Raw genomic sequence first — 19337 nt, forward strand, 5'->3', positions numbered from 1 at the left:
TTGGGTCCCCTTCCACACTGTGGAAACTTCGTTCCTTCACTCTTCACAATAAATCTTGCTGCTGCTCACTCTTTGGGTCTGCACTACCTTTATGAGCTGTAACACTCACTGTGAAGGTTTGCGGCTTCACTCCTGAAGTCAGCGAGACCACAAACCCACTGGGAGGAACAAACAACTCTGGATGCGCCACCTTTAAGAACTGTAACATTCACTGCGAGTGTCCGTGGCTTCATTCTTGAAGTCAGCAAGACCAAGAACCCACCGGAAGGAATACATTCCAGACACAATAGCACTAATGAGCTAATCATATTATTTTCTACTTATGGTAGTGGGAACTGACATAATATATTTACATATTCAGAATCACAGTTGCTCTTGCAGTATGAACACAAGATATTTACATTGCATTAAAATATATATTATCACATTTTGTTTGCTAACATTTTATTGACTCTGTTTTTGCACCCATACTCATAGGTGAAATGTCATGTATATAGAATTTATTTTCCATGCTAATCTTGTCTAAATCAAACATATATTAGCTTTATAAAACAAGGGAATATTTGGCATTCTATTCTCTGCAAACGTTCAAATTTTTAGAATGGAACAATAGGGACAATAAAGAGTAATAGATTTAGAAATGCATACTTGAAATAAAAGGAATTTATTGAGTTAATGACTTAAGCCCCCAACACAAGAATACTTTGTAAAGACTAATATTTTAATTCCAAAGAAAACCCAAGAAAGAAATTACCAAGAAATAAGAATATAAACAGATTTCAATAAACTAGAACTCTAAGAAACAATATTTAAGTGTAATAAAATGAAACACATGTTCTTTGAAAAGTCTCAGTAAATAGATACATCCTAAGAGCATTGAAAATATGATAAAAAAAGGAGTGAGACATAAGTAGTCACAGAAATGAACAGTAAAACATAATTATACCTACAATAAAACTGAAGTAATAAGAAAGTTTTCAGGAAGTTCTGTGAAAATAAATTTGAAAACTGGGTGAAATCCAGAACTTCTTTGACAAAAATATAGCCTTAAACTCATTCAGAAGATTTTGAAAGCACAAATGGTTCTACCATTATTAAAGACATGGAATCACACAGATATGCCTCCACACACAAACATAGAGACAAACACACACACAAAATTTATACAGTTGTTTAAGGTTTATACTGCTTATTTTTGTTTCTGCTAATGTTGACATATATTTTGTTTCATTGCATGTTTTAATTTTTGTATTATGAACTTATTATTTTTCACTGGATGTTTTCTGTGCAAACTAGCTGGAGAGTTTCTTCTTCAGACCAATATTGTATTTGCTTTGTCAGATGCATCAGAGATAAGTCCTAAAGCAATTCTTGTTAGGGTTTCCTGAACTTTGAGAATGGCATACAGCTGACCTGGAAAACTAGGTGAGGCCAGGTGCCTGTGTAAACATTTTTAGAAAGGACCTCTGTATTTTAAGTTGCAGAATCAAATTATAAATAGGCAATAAATATATTAAATGTTCCAATGGGTTGTTTATTTTTTCTAGTTCACCTTTTTACTGAATATATAACCCTTCTATGATCTTTTTATTGCTGGATTATTCAAGTAATATGAGTTCACTCTTTAAATCAGTAGGGTGCTGGATGAAGCTAGCTCACACTAGCTTGTGTCAGCTGACGGTCCACATCTCTCCCCAATTCCTAGTTCATGATATCACATTGGTAGCCTGAAATCAGCCATAGTAATGTTATTGTCACCACAGAAATTAGCAGATGCTAGATATCAGTACTTTCCTCCTCCCCTAGATACCCTATTATTAAACCAGCAAACAACATCTTCGACCCAATGTGAAGGAAGATCTAAAATTACGAATTTTCCAGGAGATATTTTTTCTTACATAGCCTCCAAGATGAAGCAGACAAGTTGCTTTGTTATCACTCCAGGAATGTGAGTGGATCACTCTTGTCCACACTTTCATTTAAGTTGCAGCCTTGAATTGCCCAGGCTTCATGAAGAAGTTATCACCCGTTGTCTATTGTCAACACAAATCCACATTTCTTCTCCTTGCATAATTATTAAATCCCAGTCCTCTTGGACATTCCTCTCGAATAACAAGTTACCCTAAGAACAACCAAGTCATCCGTTTCAGCTAATGACTCTGTTTACCAATTTCTTCTTTGATTTTGACCTTTGGGGATTCATTTTCAAAATTAACTATGTAATTTCAAATTAATATTAATATGTTGCTACTAGCATTTTCCAGGATTTTGATAACAAGAAGGTTTTCATATTATCTAGTCCACAACATTGCCATAAACAGTAGCTTTCATCCATCTTTAAATTATAAAAGTTTTGATAATATTTTTAAAGTGTGGAAAATAAAAAGCAATTTAATAAATGAAACTCTACTGTAATTTTTATTTTGAAATTAGGACTCCCATACTTCATTACATGTTAGGTACCCAAAAGCTGTTATGAATTTATTTGAGCATTAAAACCACTATGCTGTGCAAATTTGAGATGCATTTATCAGCCTTATTGCTTTTTTGTTTATTAAATTTCACTAGCTAAGCTTCGGAAAGTTTTGCTTTCACTTTTGCATATGAAACTTCTACAGAGCAAACATGACAGTCATAATATTTTGCAATTACATTTAGTGTTCACTGCAGTATAAGCAAATTTCCACTTCTGGATTCATAATGCTTCACAAAAAGATTGTACCATGATTCATTTCACTCTTTCAATACCGTTGGTTATCTCAGTTGCTTTCAAGTTTTTAATACCACAAAAAACTAAACCAAAGCAAACTTATGCATATAAACTCCATATTTGGATCATTTCTTAGAAATTTTTTTAGAAATGATTTTCATATTGATTTATAAATACGATAATGGGAGCCTCTCTGGCTTTTTAGAAGTAGCAAATTACTAGTAGAAATAAAATCACATGTCTTTATCAGTCAAAGTTACTAGGGCTTCCTCTTTTTTACTATTTACTTATTTGAAAAAATTTATGCTTTCTAGCTTCATTTTTTAATTATTATTATACTTTAAGTTCTGGGATACACATGCAGAACGTGCAGGTTTGTTACATAGGTATACATGTACCATAGTGGTTTGCTGCCCCCATCAACCAGTCATCTACATTAGGTATTTCTCCTAATACTATCCCTCCCCTAGGTCCCCACACCCCAACAGGCCCCAGTGTGTGATGTTCCCCACCCTGTGTCCATGTGTTCTCATTGTTCTACTCTCACTTATGAGTGAGAACATGTGGTGTTTGATTTTTCTATTCCTGTGTTAGTTTGCTGAGAATGATGGTTTCCAGCTTCATCCACATCTCTGCAAAAAACATGAACTCATTGTTCTTTTATGGCTGCATAGTATTCCATGGTGTATATGTGCCACATCTTCTTTATTCAGTCTCTCATTGATGGGCATTTGGGTTGGTTCAAAGTTTCTGGTATTGTGAATAGTGCTGCAATAAACATATGTGTGCACATGTCTTTACAGTAGAATGATTTATAATCCTTTGGGAATATACCCAGTAAAGGGATTGCTGTGTCAAATGGTATTTCTGGTTCTAGATCCCTGAGGAATCACCACACTGTCTTCCACAATGGTTGAACTAATTTACACTCCCACCAGCGATGTAAAAGCCTTCCTATTTCTTCACATCCCCTCCAGCATCTGTTGTTTCCTGAGTTTTTAATGACCACCATTCTAACTGGCATGAGATGGTATCTTGTTGTGGTTATTATTTGTATGTCTTTGATGACCACTGATGATAAGCAGGGGTTGCAATCCCAGTCTCTGATAAAACAGACTTTAACCCAACAAAGGTAAAAAAGACAAAGGCCATTACTTAATGGTAAAGGGATCAATGTAACAAGAAGAGCTAACTATCCTAAATACATATGCACCCAATTCAGGACGACCCAGATCCATAAAGTAAGTCCTTAGAGACTACAAAGATACTTAGACTCCCACACAATAATAGTGGGAGACTTTAACACTCCACTGTCAATATTAGACAGATCAACAAGGCAGAAAATTAACAACGATATTCAGGATTTGAACTCAGCTCCGGACCAAGCCGACCTAACAGACATCTACAGAACTCTCTACCCCAAATCAACAGAATATACATTTTTCTCAGCACATCACAGCTATTTTAAAACAGCCCACATAAATTAGAAGTAAAACACTCCTCAGCAAATGCAAAAGAACAGAAATCATAACAAACAGTTTCTCAGACCACAGCGCAATCAATTTAGAACTCAGGATTAAGAAACTCACTCAAAACCGCACAACTACATGAAAACTGAACAACCTGCTCCCGAATGACTACTGGGTAAATAACGAAATTAAGGCAGAAATAAATACGTTGTTTGAAACTAATGAGAACAAAGACACAACGTACCAGAATCTATGGGACACACCTAAAGCAGTGTTCAGAGGGAAATTTACAGCACTAAATGCCCACAGGAGAATGCAGGAAAGATCTAAAATCGACATCCTAACATCACAATTAAAAGAACTAGAGAAGTAAGAGCAAACAAATTCAAGAGTTTGCAGTAGACAAGAAATAACTAAGATCAGAGCAAAACTGAAAGAGATAGAGACACAAAAAACCCTTCAAAAAAATCAATGAATCCAGGATCTGGTTTTTTGAAAAGATTAACAAAATAGGTAGAATGTTAGCCAGACTAATAGAGGAGAAAAGAGAGGAGAATCAAATAGACACAATAAAAATGATAAAGGGGATATCACCACGGATACCACAGAAATACAAACTACCATCAAAGAATACTATAAACACCTCTACGCAAATAAACTAGAAAATCTAGAAGAAATGGATAAATTCCTGGAGACATATACCCTCCCAAGACTAAACCAGGAAGAAGTCGAATCCCTGAATAGACCAATAACAAGTCCTGAAATTGGGGCAGTAATTAATAGCCTACCAACCGAAAAAAAGCCCAGGACCAAACAAATTCACAGCCGAATTCTACCAGAGGTACAACGAGGAGCTGGTACCATGCCTTCTGAAACTATTCCAGACTATAGAAAAAGAGGGACTCCTCCCTAACTCATTTTATGAGGCCAGCATCATCCTGACAGTAAAGCCTGGGAGAGACACAAGAAAAACAGAAAATTTCATGCCAATATCCCTGATGAACATCAGCGCAAAAATTCTCAATAAAATACTGGCAACCCGAATCCAGCAGCACATCAAAAAGCTTATCCGCCACGATCAAGTCAGCTTCATCCCTGGGATGCAAGGCTGGTTCAACTTACACAAATCAATAAACATAATCCATCACATAAATAAAACGATGACAAAAACCACACGATTATCTCAATAGATGCAGAAAAGGCTATCGATAAAATTCAACACCCCATCATGCTAAAAACTATCAATAAACGAGGTTTTGATGGGACTTATTTCAAAGTAATAAGGGCATTTATTTACGACAAACCCACAGCCAATATCATACTGAACAGGCAAAAGCTGGAAGCATTCTTTGAAAACTGGCATAAGACAAGGATGTCCCGTGTCACCACTCCTATTCAACATAGTATTGGAAGTTCTGGCCAGGGCAATGAGGCAAGAGAAAGAAATAAAAGATATTCAAATAGGAAGAGAGGAAGTCATATTGTCTTTGTTTTCAGATGACATGATTGTATATTTAGTAAACCCCATCGTCTCAGCCCAAAATCTCCATAAGCTGATAAGCAACTTGAGCTAAGTGTCAGGATACAAAATCAATGTGCAAAAATCACAAGCATTCCTATACACCAATAATAGACAAAGAAAGAGCCAAATCATGAGTGAAATTCCATTCACAATTGCTACAAAGAAAATAAAATACCTAGGAATACAATTTACAGGGGATGTGAAGGACTTTTTCAAGGAGAAATATGAACCACTGATCAAGGAATTAAGATGCAAACAAATGGAAAAACATTCCATGCTCATGGATAGGAAGAATCAATATTGTGAAAATGGCCATACTGCCCAAATTAATTTATAGATTCAATGCCTATCCATCAAGCTACCAATGACTTTCTTCACAGAATTAGAAAAAACTACTTTAAATTTCATATAGAACCAAAAAAGAGTCTGTATAGCCAAGACAATCCTAAGCAAAAAGAACAAAGCTGGAGGCATCATGCCACCTGACTTCAAACTATGCTACAAGGCTACAGTAACCAAAACAACATGGTACTGGTACCAAAACAGATATATAGACCAATGGAACAGAACGGAGGCCTCAGAAGTAATGCCACACATCTACAACCATCTGATATTTGACAAGCCTGACAAAAACAAACAATGGGGAAATGATTCCTTATTTAATAAATGGTGTTGGAAAATTGACTAGCCATGTGCAGACAACTGAAACTGGATCCCTTCCTTATACCTTATACAAAAATTAACTCAAGATGGATTAAACACTTAAACGTAAGACCTAAAACCATAAAAACCCTAGAAGAAAACCTAGGCAATACCATTCAGGATGTAGGCATGGGCAAAAACTTCGTAAGTAAAACACCAAAAGCAATGGCAACAAAAGTCAAAATTGACAAATGGGATCTAAATAAAGGGCTTCTGCACAGCAAAAGAAACTATCATCAGAGTGAAGAGATGACCTACAGAATAGGAGAAGATTTTTGCAATCTATCCCTCTGACAAAGGGCTAATATCCAGAACCTACAAGGAACTTAAACAAATTTACAAGAAAAGCACAAACAACCCCCTAAAAACAGTGGGCAAAGTATATGAAAAGACACTTCTTAAAAGAACACATTTATGCGACCAACAAACATGAAATAAAGCTCTTTTTTATTTTTGAAAGAGAAAATTCTATTGAGTCTTTTATTGTCAGAGAGTACATAAGATAAACTCCCTTTTATTTTCAAGTCCAACTCTGGTTTATGCTCTCTTGGTAAAAATAAACTCTAACATTTGCAGAAAGCATTTTCCCCCATCTCTAGAACAACATGGCAAATGCAAATCGAAGTAATTGAAGCTGAGAGCACAAAAAGAGAGCTTCCTAGGGGAAGATAGCTGTCTGAAAAAGGATTAAGTTGCCATTTCCTAAGGAGAAGAGTGGAAGAACAGATCATTTTCACCCTAGACGAGAATAAGGGAGATTTCCCCGCCTTTTGATTTTTTAAAGTTGATGTGTACCAGGTATGAGAGGCATGTTTCAGAAAAAAATGACTTCCATTGAACTATGAGTTCAGAAAAATGTCATTTAAGGCCCTTTAATGGCATGGTTTTATAAATACAGAAACTGCAGGGGCCCAATGATTCCATTGTAATTGTAACTTGTTTGATCACATGGTCACAATAGCCCATAATGTCCATCTCTGTGCCATATAGTACATTCCAACAAGAACAGAAAGTGACTGCAGACTAGAATCAATCCTCCCAAGGACTCTCCCTCAGTCTGGCTAATTCCTTCATTCTTCAGCTAGCCCCAGATCAGATTTTGTATTTCCATAAAGCTCAGAAGTGACACTGTTCTTTCTGGTCTGAGGACTACACTTTTGATGAACAAGGCTGCCATATTTCTGTCATTTGACTACTATAGAGATGCTAGTGAACTCCAGAAATTTAAGCTGTGCTGGGACCATTAAAAGAGACCATTAAAATGGGGAGAAAACACTTAATCTAATTTTTCTTGTATGATTAACATCTGTTATAACTGCAGGTATTAGAGTATGGGTGTTCAAACCAATATCAAAATTTTGTGGAAACAGTCCATCCTACCTTGAGATTCAGCCTTTTCTATATATCAATATTCCTATTAAATGTTCAGATTACTTAATATGGTATAGAATGGATTGATTATTCATAGGGATTATTTGGATCATACTAAATCATCAAATGACCAACTGCCTATTCTTATTGCTATGGAAACATTTCAGTTAACTAAATAATTTATTATTGAGTGAGTACTCTTAACACATCATGTTAGGTATTACAAAGGCAAACAACATAAACTCTTCAGAGACACAGAACTCATGAACAGTCTATCAATTATCTGTTACTGCATAACAAGTCACCTTAATTCTCAGTGGCTTAAAACAATAAGCATTTATTGTGTTCATAATTTAGAAATAGATCATTTAGACCACACTCAGTTGAGCAATTCTTCTAATTGAAGCTGACTCCATGAGGATCAGTGGTCAGCCGCAACTTGTTCAAGTTGCTCTGCTTCTGGGGGTTAGCTGGATATCACCTAGAGCAATGAGAACCATTGAACTACGTATCTCACCTTCTAAGAGTGCCCTGGCTCATTTACATTATACTTCAACAGTGTGTCAAGAGAGAAAAAGGAAATGCAAAGTCCTCTTGAAGCCTGGACTCAGAAATGGCCCACATTCTTTAGGCCAAAGCAAGCCAGATGGCCAGTGCAGATTCAAGTTATGGAGAAAGAGGTTCCACTCATCGATAAGAGGATCTGTGAAGTTACATGGCGAAGAAGAGAAAAAAAGAATTATTATAGTCATTTTTATAAACAATCTATTATAAATAAATTTTAGACTTTGTTGCAAGCCCTGAAGACTTGCTAAATCTCTTTGTGGCATATCTCTGAGACATGCAGAAAAGCCTTGTTTAGCCTGCTAAATTGGGTAAACAATTGTCCTTAGAAATTCACTGTGAGAAAGTTGATGAAACAGCTTATATCTTGAGACTAATATAAACGATTAGCTAGACAAACTTGGATTAACTTTTCTGAATAAAATGTGTGACAACGTGATTATGGGTAAAAACGAGGATCAGCTGGTTTCCCATCTGCCAAGAAAACATGCCATAAGAATGTATTCAATTTCAATATTAGCTAATTGACTACTGCTATTCAAATTCCCATTTGACTAACTCACACAGTGAACTCGATTTTTTTAAAAATTGTTGATTAATGATTCTTACTAATATGCTATTAAATTAGCTACACTTGAGTTAGGGATTGACTATTGGTTATTTATACAACAAAGGAAGGAGGAAGTCGTCTTCAGTTTCTATACTTTAGGAGTGAAAAGCCTGCAAAAATGTATGAAACAAAAAAAAATATATGTTTTTGAAGAATACAACAATTCTCGTTAAGCTTTCTAGTGGTAATATTGAATTAGAAGAAACATTTCTGGATTTTGCTATTAACATCTAACTTAATTACATAAGCTTATTTGGAATATTTTATGTGGAGGGAGATAAGACTATTCAAAGAGAAATTGCTTAAATATACTTGCAAATGCAGCGTTGTGTAAGTTCAAACCACATTATTTTCTCTCTTAGGACAGCTGAAGCAAGCATGAAACTAACAGCACAGATTGCCAATTGTTAAAGAAATAAAATTCTTGTAATAGAAAATATGAAAAATACTAAAGAATATATGTGCTTACACAGTGGGCCCAATTAAAACCCTATAATTTGATTTCCCGGGGGTATAAATAAAACACATTGTTCCACTGAAGTTTACATATTTTGCCCTTGTCTTTTTCTAGACCTTAGAGAGATGATGACCTTTTTTTAACCATATTAAAGATAGTTTCCTAAAATAGGTAGATGTAAATTTTTATGTCTGGTTGAAAGGGCACCACTCACAGAGTCTGCATGTCACAGTGGGGCCAGTTGCATATTGGTGCTGAGTCCTTGGCTGAGAGAAGTTACAGATGTTGGCATCAACACACTGAGCTTACCTACTCTGGAGATGCTATTTATCTTTACAGAGGCCCCTCAAGGGCATGTGTCTGTTAAACGCAGGCCTGATTCTCCTATGTTTAGATTGCATTCGTCAGTTATTTTCATTTTGTAGCTATTAACCCAACAAATTAATAATTAAACATGTAAGCTTTAAAAGTTACTTGAAAAGCTTATGTTGATGAATTGTTATATAGTCTATGCTTCTTTCCATCTGTTCTCTTCTTGCTCCTTTGGATGATTTGCAATGGAAAGCCAAGCAGTATGTCTGAATATATTTTCTCACCGTCTGACCACAATCCTTACCAATCCTGAAAATCGAATGATTCTTTAAGATCCTGAGAAATTTAGAAGTGTTGAATTGAGTTTTATGTTGAGATTTGGTATTTGCTCCCCTCACACAATATCATCACCCTCAATTTTCAGAAGTTTTAACTTCTTGGCTAATCTGATACTTTAAAAGCTTGCAGAATTATATTCTACTCAGTCATTTTTATTATTTCTTTATATAAAAATATTCCTTTCACAGGGGTGATTGGATCAGCAGAAAGGGATAACTGACATTATCCCTTGATAGACTCAATTGAGTAAAAATCAAATCATTCTAATTACAGGGTGCCAATCAACCTTAGAATGCCCTTGAGTTAACATGAGTAAAATACTGACCAAGGATACTAAAATGGAACAAGGGCTATCAGATTAAGGCAAGATTTTTTTTTTTTTTTTTTTGCATTCTGTGATTACCTGGCTTGAACATTTAAAATAAAGGACCCACTTATTTAATGAAATTACTGAATTCCAAAAGAGTTTTTGTAAACCACATACCTTTTAAACCATTATTATTTTTTAAATTTAGCTGTATTTTAAAACAACAAAGGAAAAGATGTTGATCTCTGAATGTGATAAGATTATACAAACAAAATGCAGAACATATATTTAAAAAGAAATAATAACACTTTGATAATATGTTGACTATAATTCTCAAAAAGATGCTCATATTCACAAGAATAGCTGTGGTAATAATTATGATTCTTAAAAATGAAACAAGACTAAAATACTGAAAACTAACCATTGTATAAGAGAGGGAACTCTGACTGTTTTATGTATTTTGTTCCCAAAGTAGAGATAGTAATCTTTAAGACTTTAGGGATTTGAGGAAATTTGTTACCAATCTCAAGCGAATCTTTTATTTTGTATAATTTTGTAGGGTATAAGTGTAACCTTGTTCCATGGATATATTGCATAGTGGTTAAGGTAGTGGTGAAGTCAGAGCTTTTAATGTATCCATCACCAGAATAACATGCACTGTACCCATTAAGTTATTACTCATCCCCCACCTCCTCTTAATCCCCTTTGAAGTCTCCAGTGTCTATTATTCCACGCTTTATGTCCCTGTGCACATGTTATTTAGCTCACAGTTGTGAGAACAAGCAGTATTTGTCTTTCTGTGTTTGAGTTGTTTCACTTAAGATAATGGCCTCTAATTCTATCCATGTTGTTGCAAAAGACATGATTTCATTGTTATAAAAGGTTGAATAGTATTCCATTGAGTATATATACCACATTTCCTTTATCCAATCATGGTTGATGGACACTTAGTTTGATTCTGTATCTTTGCTATTGTGTATAATGCTGCGATAAACACTTTAGATTGTATATCTATCTAAACAATGAACATAGTGAAAAGAGTAAGTGTTTAGGGCTCAATAAGACAATTATCATAGCCTGTGACTTTAGACAATTAATCTTCCTGAACTTCAATTTCTCTATGTTTACAATAGAAAGAATGGTACCTATCTCATGGGGTTACTGTGAGGTTTGGAAAAGATAGCATATGTAAAGCACCCTGAATAGAAGCTGGGGCATAATTAGTATTAACTAACTGTTATTTTCTCTATGTTTGTGTGCATATATGTGTGTTATACATCATCAGTTTATTCTGTAGGCAACATAAGAGTTCCTGGGGCTGCTGATACTGTTCCAAGTGCCCATATTGTGCCGTTGGTCATTTGAGAACATACACTTTAAAAAATAATATGTATTTTAACCTTCCTTATATAGATAAATATTTATTGAGAGTCTAACTAGAATTAAGATACTGAGTCAAGCACTGAGGTATCCACAGATATGAATCAGACTGGAAATCTACCTTGACAGAACTCAGAGTACAGTTAGAGGCATGTGTACATATATAACTGCCATGCCAAGTGTGTGAGGACAAGCTTAAACAGTCACCAGTAGACAGCCATGGATACTCAAGAGCAGAGAAGGGGTAGTTGCCATTTGGAGTGGGGTTTGAAGGTGTCTATGTGTATGGATGAAGGCATTTGAGAGTGACCGTGAAGTAAAGCTAAAAGGTGAGCCTACATCACTGGACAAAGGGAAATTCTAGACAGTGGTCATAGCATGAGTAAAAACAAAATAATGTTTGCGGTTCAGGGACTTACAAGTATGCTTAATTGGCCCAAGTATTAGGATGCAAGTGAAAGATTAAAAGGTTAGAAAAGAGGCTAGGGTCAAAAAATAGAAAACTTTGAGTATCTGGTAGGAGTGTTGACTTTTTCTTTTGATTGACTAAATATGATACCTCTTTTTGCTTTCATTAAGCTTCCAAAACGACTCATTCAGAATAACTCAAGCTCTTTCCAGGGCCATCTTACTAACGGCATGGCAGAGTACTGACTTAGGCTGATGTTTTCTTTTCAATGCCTCTTGCATTGTTTCTCCTTTTCCCCTTGTTTTAGCTCACAGTCTTAGTCTGTGGGTACAGAGCCAAAGTTAGAGACAAATATCGACTAGCTTTCTTGGTGTCCAAATGAGTCAGGCCCGTTTGTCTCCTCTCTGGATATCTCATAAATACCATGTCAATGGAACTCATTGGCCCAGTGAAAGGTAGAAGAACAGAGATTCTGAAAGGGGTCCAGGAACATGCTGTTCTCAGCATAGTAAAAGGCAGAGAAATGTGTGTTTAGAGAAAGCAAAACAAAATGCATTCGGTGTAGTTCACCTCATTGCTTTTGTTTCCCTTCCCAGAAGTGAATGATGTGATATTTTGCCAGCTTCAAATGCCTCCAATCTGATTTTTGGTTAAAGCAAAAGCAAAAAGACATTTTTTTAACCAGAAAGAATAATGTCATATGAAAAACACTTAGCTGTTCCACATGTGGATAAAAAGCTTAATAAACGTCATTCTTTGCACATGAAAATTCAGAAGGTCACAGCGAAGGCACATAATAACCCCCCTCTGCTACAGGCGATCTCAATCTGGCTGCTTATGGAAATCACCTGGGAGGACTTCAGACCTACTGAGCTGAGGCCTCGCATCTAGATTGGGTTAGTGAATTTTAACCCATATAGGATTATAAAGTCCAGCCAGAGTTAAAAGCCATTTAACCACCCAAAGCCTCTAGTTTACCTCCTGAGAAACCTCATAGAGTCATTAAGAGTTGAGCTCACATTGCTGATTTAAAGTAAAACTAGGCCCACCTCGGTGGCTCAAGCCTGTAATCCCAGCAGTTTAGGAGGCTGAGGTGGGCAGATCACCTGAGGTCAGGAATTCGAGACTAGCCTGGCCAACATGGTGAAACCCAGTTTCCACTAAAAAAAAAAAAAAAAAAAAAAATTACCAGGTATGGTGGCACATCCCTGTAATCCCAGCTACTCACTTGGCAGGCTGAAGCAGGAGAATACTGGGAGTTGGAGGTTGCAGTGAGCTGAGATCATGCCACTGCACTCCAGCCTGGGTGACAAGAGTAAAACTCTGTCTCATAAAAAATAAAGAAAAGAAAATAAATAAAATAAACAAAACAAAAAATATCTGGGCCTAGAACATAGTTCACCAGAATCCAGGTGTTCTTTCTCCAGAGTTTGTTGTTTTCTCATACATCATGGAAAACAGGGGTTTAAAAAAATCTACTTATTTCTAACATTAAGTTCTCAGTTGAGAAAGTCAGACAACTTTTTATGTGTCAGCTACTGTTCAGCATAAAGGCAATGTAGCAGAAAACAAAACCCCTGCACTCAGTGAGTTAACACTAGTTAATGGAAAGGAGGAAAAGAGACTCACAACAAACATAAATAAGAAAGTGAGGACATAAATCAAGTGACATGGTTGTGTCTCCACATGTTAGGTGGTGAATTTGGGTAGCCTTTGTGCTAGGCACTGTGCTGGATGCTTGATGCTTGCTAGACACTGAGGACACAGACATTCATAATAATTCCCTGACACCAAATAGTTGTACTTGAAAGCTGAAGGAAAATTGCCAGGACAGAGAGACAACAAAAAAAGAGAATTTTAGACCAATATCCCTGATGAACGTCGATGCAAAAATCCTCAATAAAATACTGGCAAACTGAATCCAGCAGCACGTCAAAAAGCTTATCCACCATGATCAAGTGGGCTTCATCCCTGGGATGCAAGGCTGGTTCAATATACGCAAATCAATAAATGCAATCCAGCATGTAAACAGAACCCACGACAAAAACCACATGATTCTCTCAATAGATGCAGAAAAGGCCTTTGACAAAATTCAACAACCCCTCATGCTAAAAACTCTCAATAAATTAGGGATTGATGGGACGTATCTCAAAATAATAAGAGCTATCTAGGACAAACCCACAGCCAATATCATACTGAATGGACAAAAACTGGAAGCATTCCTTTTGAAAACTGGCACAAGACAGGGATGCCCTCTCTCACCACTCTTATTCAACATAGTGTTGGAAGTTCTGGCCAGGGCAATCAGGCAGGAGAAGGAAATAAAGGGTATTCAATTAGGAAAAGAGGAAGTCAAATTGTCCCTGTTTGCAGATGACATGATTGTATATCTAGAAAACCCCATCATCTCAGCCCAAAATCTCCTTAAGCTGATAAGCAACTTCAGCAAAGTCTCAGGATACAAAATCAATGTGCAAAAATCACAAGCATTCTTATACACCAATAACAGACAAACAGAGAGCCAAATCATGAGTGAACTCCCATTCACAATTGCTTCAAAGAGAATAAAATACCTAGGAATCCAACTTACAAGGGATGTGAAGGACCTCTTCAAGGAGAACTACAAACCACTGCTCAACGAAACAAAAGAGGATACAAACAAATGGAAGAACATTCCATGCTCATGTGTAGAAAGAATCAATATCATGAAAATAGTCATACTGCCCAAGGTAATTTATAGATTCAATGCCATCCCCATCAAGCTACCAATGACTTTCTTCACAGAATTGGAAAAAAACTACTTTAAAGTTCATACGGAACCAAAAAAGAGCCTGCATTGCCAAGTCAATCCTAAGCCAAAAGAACAAAGCTGGAGGCATCACGCTACCTGACTTCAAACTATACTACAAGGCTGCAGTAACCAAAACACCATGATACTGGTACCAAAACAGAGATATAGACCAATGGAAAAGAACAGAGCCCTCAGAAATAATGCCGCATATCTACAACTATCTGATCTTTGACAAACCTGACAAAAACGAGAAATGGGGAAAGGAATCCCTATTTAATAAATGGTGCTGGGAGAACTGGCTAGCCATATGTAGAAAGCTGAAACTGGATCCCTTCCTCACACCTTATACAAAAACTAATCTAAGATGGATTAAAGACTTAAATGTTAGACCTAAAACCATAAAAACCCTAGAAGAAAACCTAGGCAATACTCAGGACATAGGCATGGGCAAGGACTTCATGACTAAAACATTGAAAGCAATGGCAACAAAACCCAAAATAGACAAATGAGATCTAATTAAACTAAAGAGCTTCTGCACAGCAAAAGAAACTACCATCGGAGTGAACAGGCAACCTACACAATGGGAGAAAATTTTTGCAATCTACCAGTCTGACAATGGGCTAATATCCAGAATCTACAAACAACTCAAACAAATTTACAAGAAAAAAACAAACAACCCCATCAAAAAGTGGGCGAAGGACAAGAACAGACACTTCTCAAAAGAAGATATTTGTGCAGCCAAAAGACACATGAAAAAATGCTCATCATCACTAGCCATCAGAGAAATGCAAATCAAAACCACAATGAGATACCATCTCACACCAGTTAGAATGGGGATCAGTAAACAGTCAGGAAACAGCAGGTGCTGGAGAGGATGTGGAGAAATAGGAACACTTTTACACTGTTGGTGGGACTGTAAACTAGTTCAACCATTGTGGAAGTCAGTGTGGTGATTCCTCAGGGATCTAGAACTAGAAATACCATTTGACCCAGCCATCCCATTACTGGGTATATACCCAAAGGATTATAAATCATGCTGCTATAAAGACACATGCACATGTATGTTTATTGTGGCACTATTCACAATAGTAAAGACTTGGAACGAACCCAAATGTCCAACAAGGATAGACTGTATTAAGAAAATGTGGCACATATACACCATGGAATACTATGCAGCCATAAAAAATGATGAGTTCATGTCCTTTATAGGGACATGGATGAAACTGGAAACCATCATTCTCAGCAAACTATCGCAAGGACAAAAAGCCAAACACTGCATGGTCTCACTCATAGGTGGGAATTGAACAATGAGAACACATGGACACAGGAAGGGGAACATCACACACCAGAGCCTGTTGTGGGGTCGGGGGAGAGGGGAGGGATAGAATTAGGAGATATACCTAATGTAAATGATGAGTTAATGGGTGCAGCACACCAAGATGGCACATATGTAACAAACCTGCACGTTGTGCACATGTACCCTAAAACTTAAAGTATAATAAAAAAAATTGCCAGGAAATAAAGAAGAAAAGGAATTTCAAGCTGAAGGATCAGTTTGTACAATGGAATAAATTTATGAGAGAAAATAGTACCTTCAGAGGATTACAAATCAGTTCAATAGTACTGGAACAAATAATGGGAAGAGGCCACAGAAAAATAAACTTCAATCAAATAACAAATGACAATGTATGCTTTGCAAATGGATAAACTGCTTCTCTCCTATGAGAGTGTTTCTCAAACTATTCTGTGTTATGAATTATACGTGGGGAATTTTAAAAAACAAGATTACACATCTATCCCCAGTATTTCTACTCTAGTGTTTCTGATAATGTTCTGCACCATTTTGAGAAATACTGTTCTAGATGATGGCAAAGTATTAAAGAAATTTAATGAGAGCAAAGCGTGATTGGATTTTCATACTGTAAAGATTAATGCTGGAAGAAGAACAGAAGATGTATTGGGGACAGAATGATAGATTCAATAGGAAAGTTATGGCACTAGTATAAGAGGGAGATAATGAGGGCCTTACTAGGACAGCATTGGAAATGAATAGGAGTAGTAAATAAGTATTTAAAATATTTAAAAACTATAATTATCAGATGACAGGACTTAGAAACAGCATTTATGTAAGTAAGTAGCAAAGAGGGTGGAGTATACAATTGCTTGCCGGCATCTGATTTGGGAAATTGGATGGAAGGTATTGTCAGAAAAAAGATGAGTTCAGACTTAAGCATGCCCATTTCTAAATGAGGATCCACTTCACCTGGGCTGTTAGTTGTACTCATCCGTCTGAATCTCAGGAGAGAAGGATGTTCAAAGACATTGATTTGAAAATTATCAACACATATTTAACACTTGGATCTCATTAAGAAGATCAAGAAGAAATTATGAGAAGGGAATTATGTTTTTGTGAGTATGAATTTTTTTTAATATACTTTAAGTTCTGGGGTACATGTACAGAACATGCAGGTTTGTTACATAGGTATACATGTGCCATAGTGGTTTGGTGCAACCCTCAACCTGTCATCTACATTAGGTATTTCTCCAAATGCTATCCCTTGTCCCACCTCCCACCCCACAAGAGGCCCCGGTGTATGCTGTTCCGCTCCCTGTGTCCACGTGTTCTCATTATTCAACTCCCACTTATGAGTGAGAACATGTTATGTTTGGATTTCTGTTCTTGTATTTGCTGAGAATGATGGTTTCCAGCTTCAATCATCCATGTCCCTGCAAAGGACACGAACTCATCCTTTTTTATGGCTGCATAGTATTCCATGGTGTATATGTGCCACATTTTCTTTATCCAGTCTATCATTGATGGGTATTTGGGTTGGTTCCAAGTCTTTGCTGTTGTGAACAGTGGAGAGAATTTCAAGAAATAAGTGTGTACTTGTTATAAATGACCAAAGTTGATGAACAATTATTTTGAAGTCTACAATTTAAAAGTCATTGGTGGCTGGGTTTGGTGACTCACATCTCACCTGGTATAACCATCTCAGCACTTTGGGAGGCTGAGGCACGAGGATCTCTTGAGCCCAAGAATTTGAGACCAGCCTGGACAACATAGAGAGATCCCATCTCTAAAAAAATTAAATTAAATTAATTAGCCCAGTGTGGTGGCACACACCTGCAGTTCTAGTTACTTTGTTTACTAAAAGGGGAGGATGACTTGACCCAGGAGTTCAAGGCTGCACTGAGCTATGAGCATACCACTGCACTCCAATGTGGGTGACAGAGCAAGACCTTGTCTCTGTTAACCCCCAATAACACAAATTTACCTATGTAACAAATCTATACTTGTATCCTTGAACTTAAAATAAAAGTTAAAAAGAAAACACTAAGCAAAATAATGGTTACGTATAATGCACAGAATAAAGGAAACTGTTATTTATACCTAAAAAATAAAGAGAATCCTGAAAAAAAATTTTAAGTCATTGGTGAACTTAGTGAGAAAGTGAAGGGGTAACCAAAATTTTATGAATTGGCACTGATAGGGAAGATTAGAGGCAGTGTCAACAAATATGATAGGTCAATAACTAGGAATGTGGGCTTCTCTCTCTTCTCTCTCTGCTCTCTCTCTCTCTCTCTCTCTCTCACACACACACACACACACACACACACACAGACAGACAGACACACACACATACACACACTGTTGCTTTTTATAAAAATTCATTTTTCTTTCTATACATGTGACAAACTGAAATGTGAAGAATGCAAGTAGTATGAAGAAAAGAAATATAGAATAATGAAGATTATAATATAATAGAATAGTAAATACTTGTGTAAAAAATTAAGGGACTCACAAAACTTGTTCGATGTCCTTTAAAAGAAGGAAGTCACTAATATGAAGGCTTATTTTCAAGGCGAATCTCTCCAATTTCTTTTCCTAAGCAAATAAACACAAAACAATCCTTGTTGATTTCAGACATACAAACAGACGCCTTCCACAATTTTTTGTAGAAGTATCAGACACTTTTAGAGAAGGAAAAATAATTTGGAATTATTTACTTCAAATATCTCAGGAAGAACAAACATAAATATTCAGAATGTCTTTAGAACATTAATGTCTAAGCCTCCATAAACTTTAGCGTGATATTTTTTCACATCTTAACTCTCTGGTTCACTGTGATATACTTCAGCAAGCTTTACTTTTATATATGAATCATTCCAATTTCTGCTTGACGATAGGGATAAATTTAGCTTATGCATTTTCTAACATATCTTTATATTTTAATAATAGATATTATATCCTAAAAGGACTTATGAAACTGTTATTCAATAGAAATGTACAGTTTTAATTTTAAATTTTCTAGTAGACATATTAAAAAGGCAAAAGCACATTAAAATCAAGGCAAAACTAATTTTAATAATGTTTTATCACAATGTCCAAA

The 19337-nt window shown here is 36.2% G+C and overlaps 1 long non-coding RNA gene across 5 annotated transcripts in view; it reads right to left on the reverse strand.

Annotated features, from left to right (window-relative positions):
- Positions 1-645: 645 nt before the first annotated feature.
- The window catches only part of LOC105374497 (uncharacterized), a 291527-nt gene continuing 272835 nt past the window's right edge, over positions 646-19337 (reverse strand). For 3 of the 5 annotated variants that reach the window (XR_939994.2, XR_001739423.1, XR_001739422.1), the window contains 2 exons: positions 18750-18832; positions 17739-18023 (listed from right to left, as the gene is read on the reverse strand). This is a non-coding gene — a long non-coding RNA (uncharacterized LOC105374497). Of the gene's footprint in view, positions 2123-6700; positions 8478-17738; positions 18024-18749; positions 18833-19337 lie in introns of those variants that run through there. The other 2 variants (XR_001739421.3, XR_939995.2) reach the window with 2 other exon arrangements.

This window comes from Homo sapiens, chromosome 2 (genome assembly GCF_000001405.40).
Source record: "Homo sapiens chromosome 2, GRCh38.p14 Primary Assembly".
NCBI classification, from domain to species: domain Eukaryota; kingdom Metazoa; phylum Chordata; class Mammalia; order Primates; family Hominidae; genus Homo; species Homo sapiens.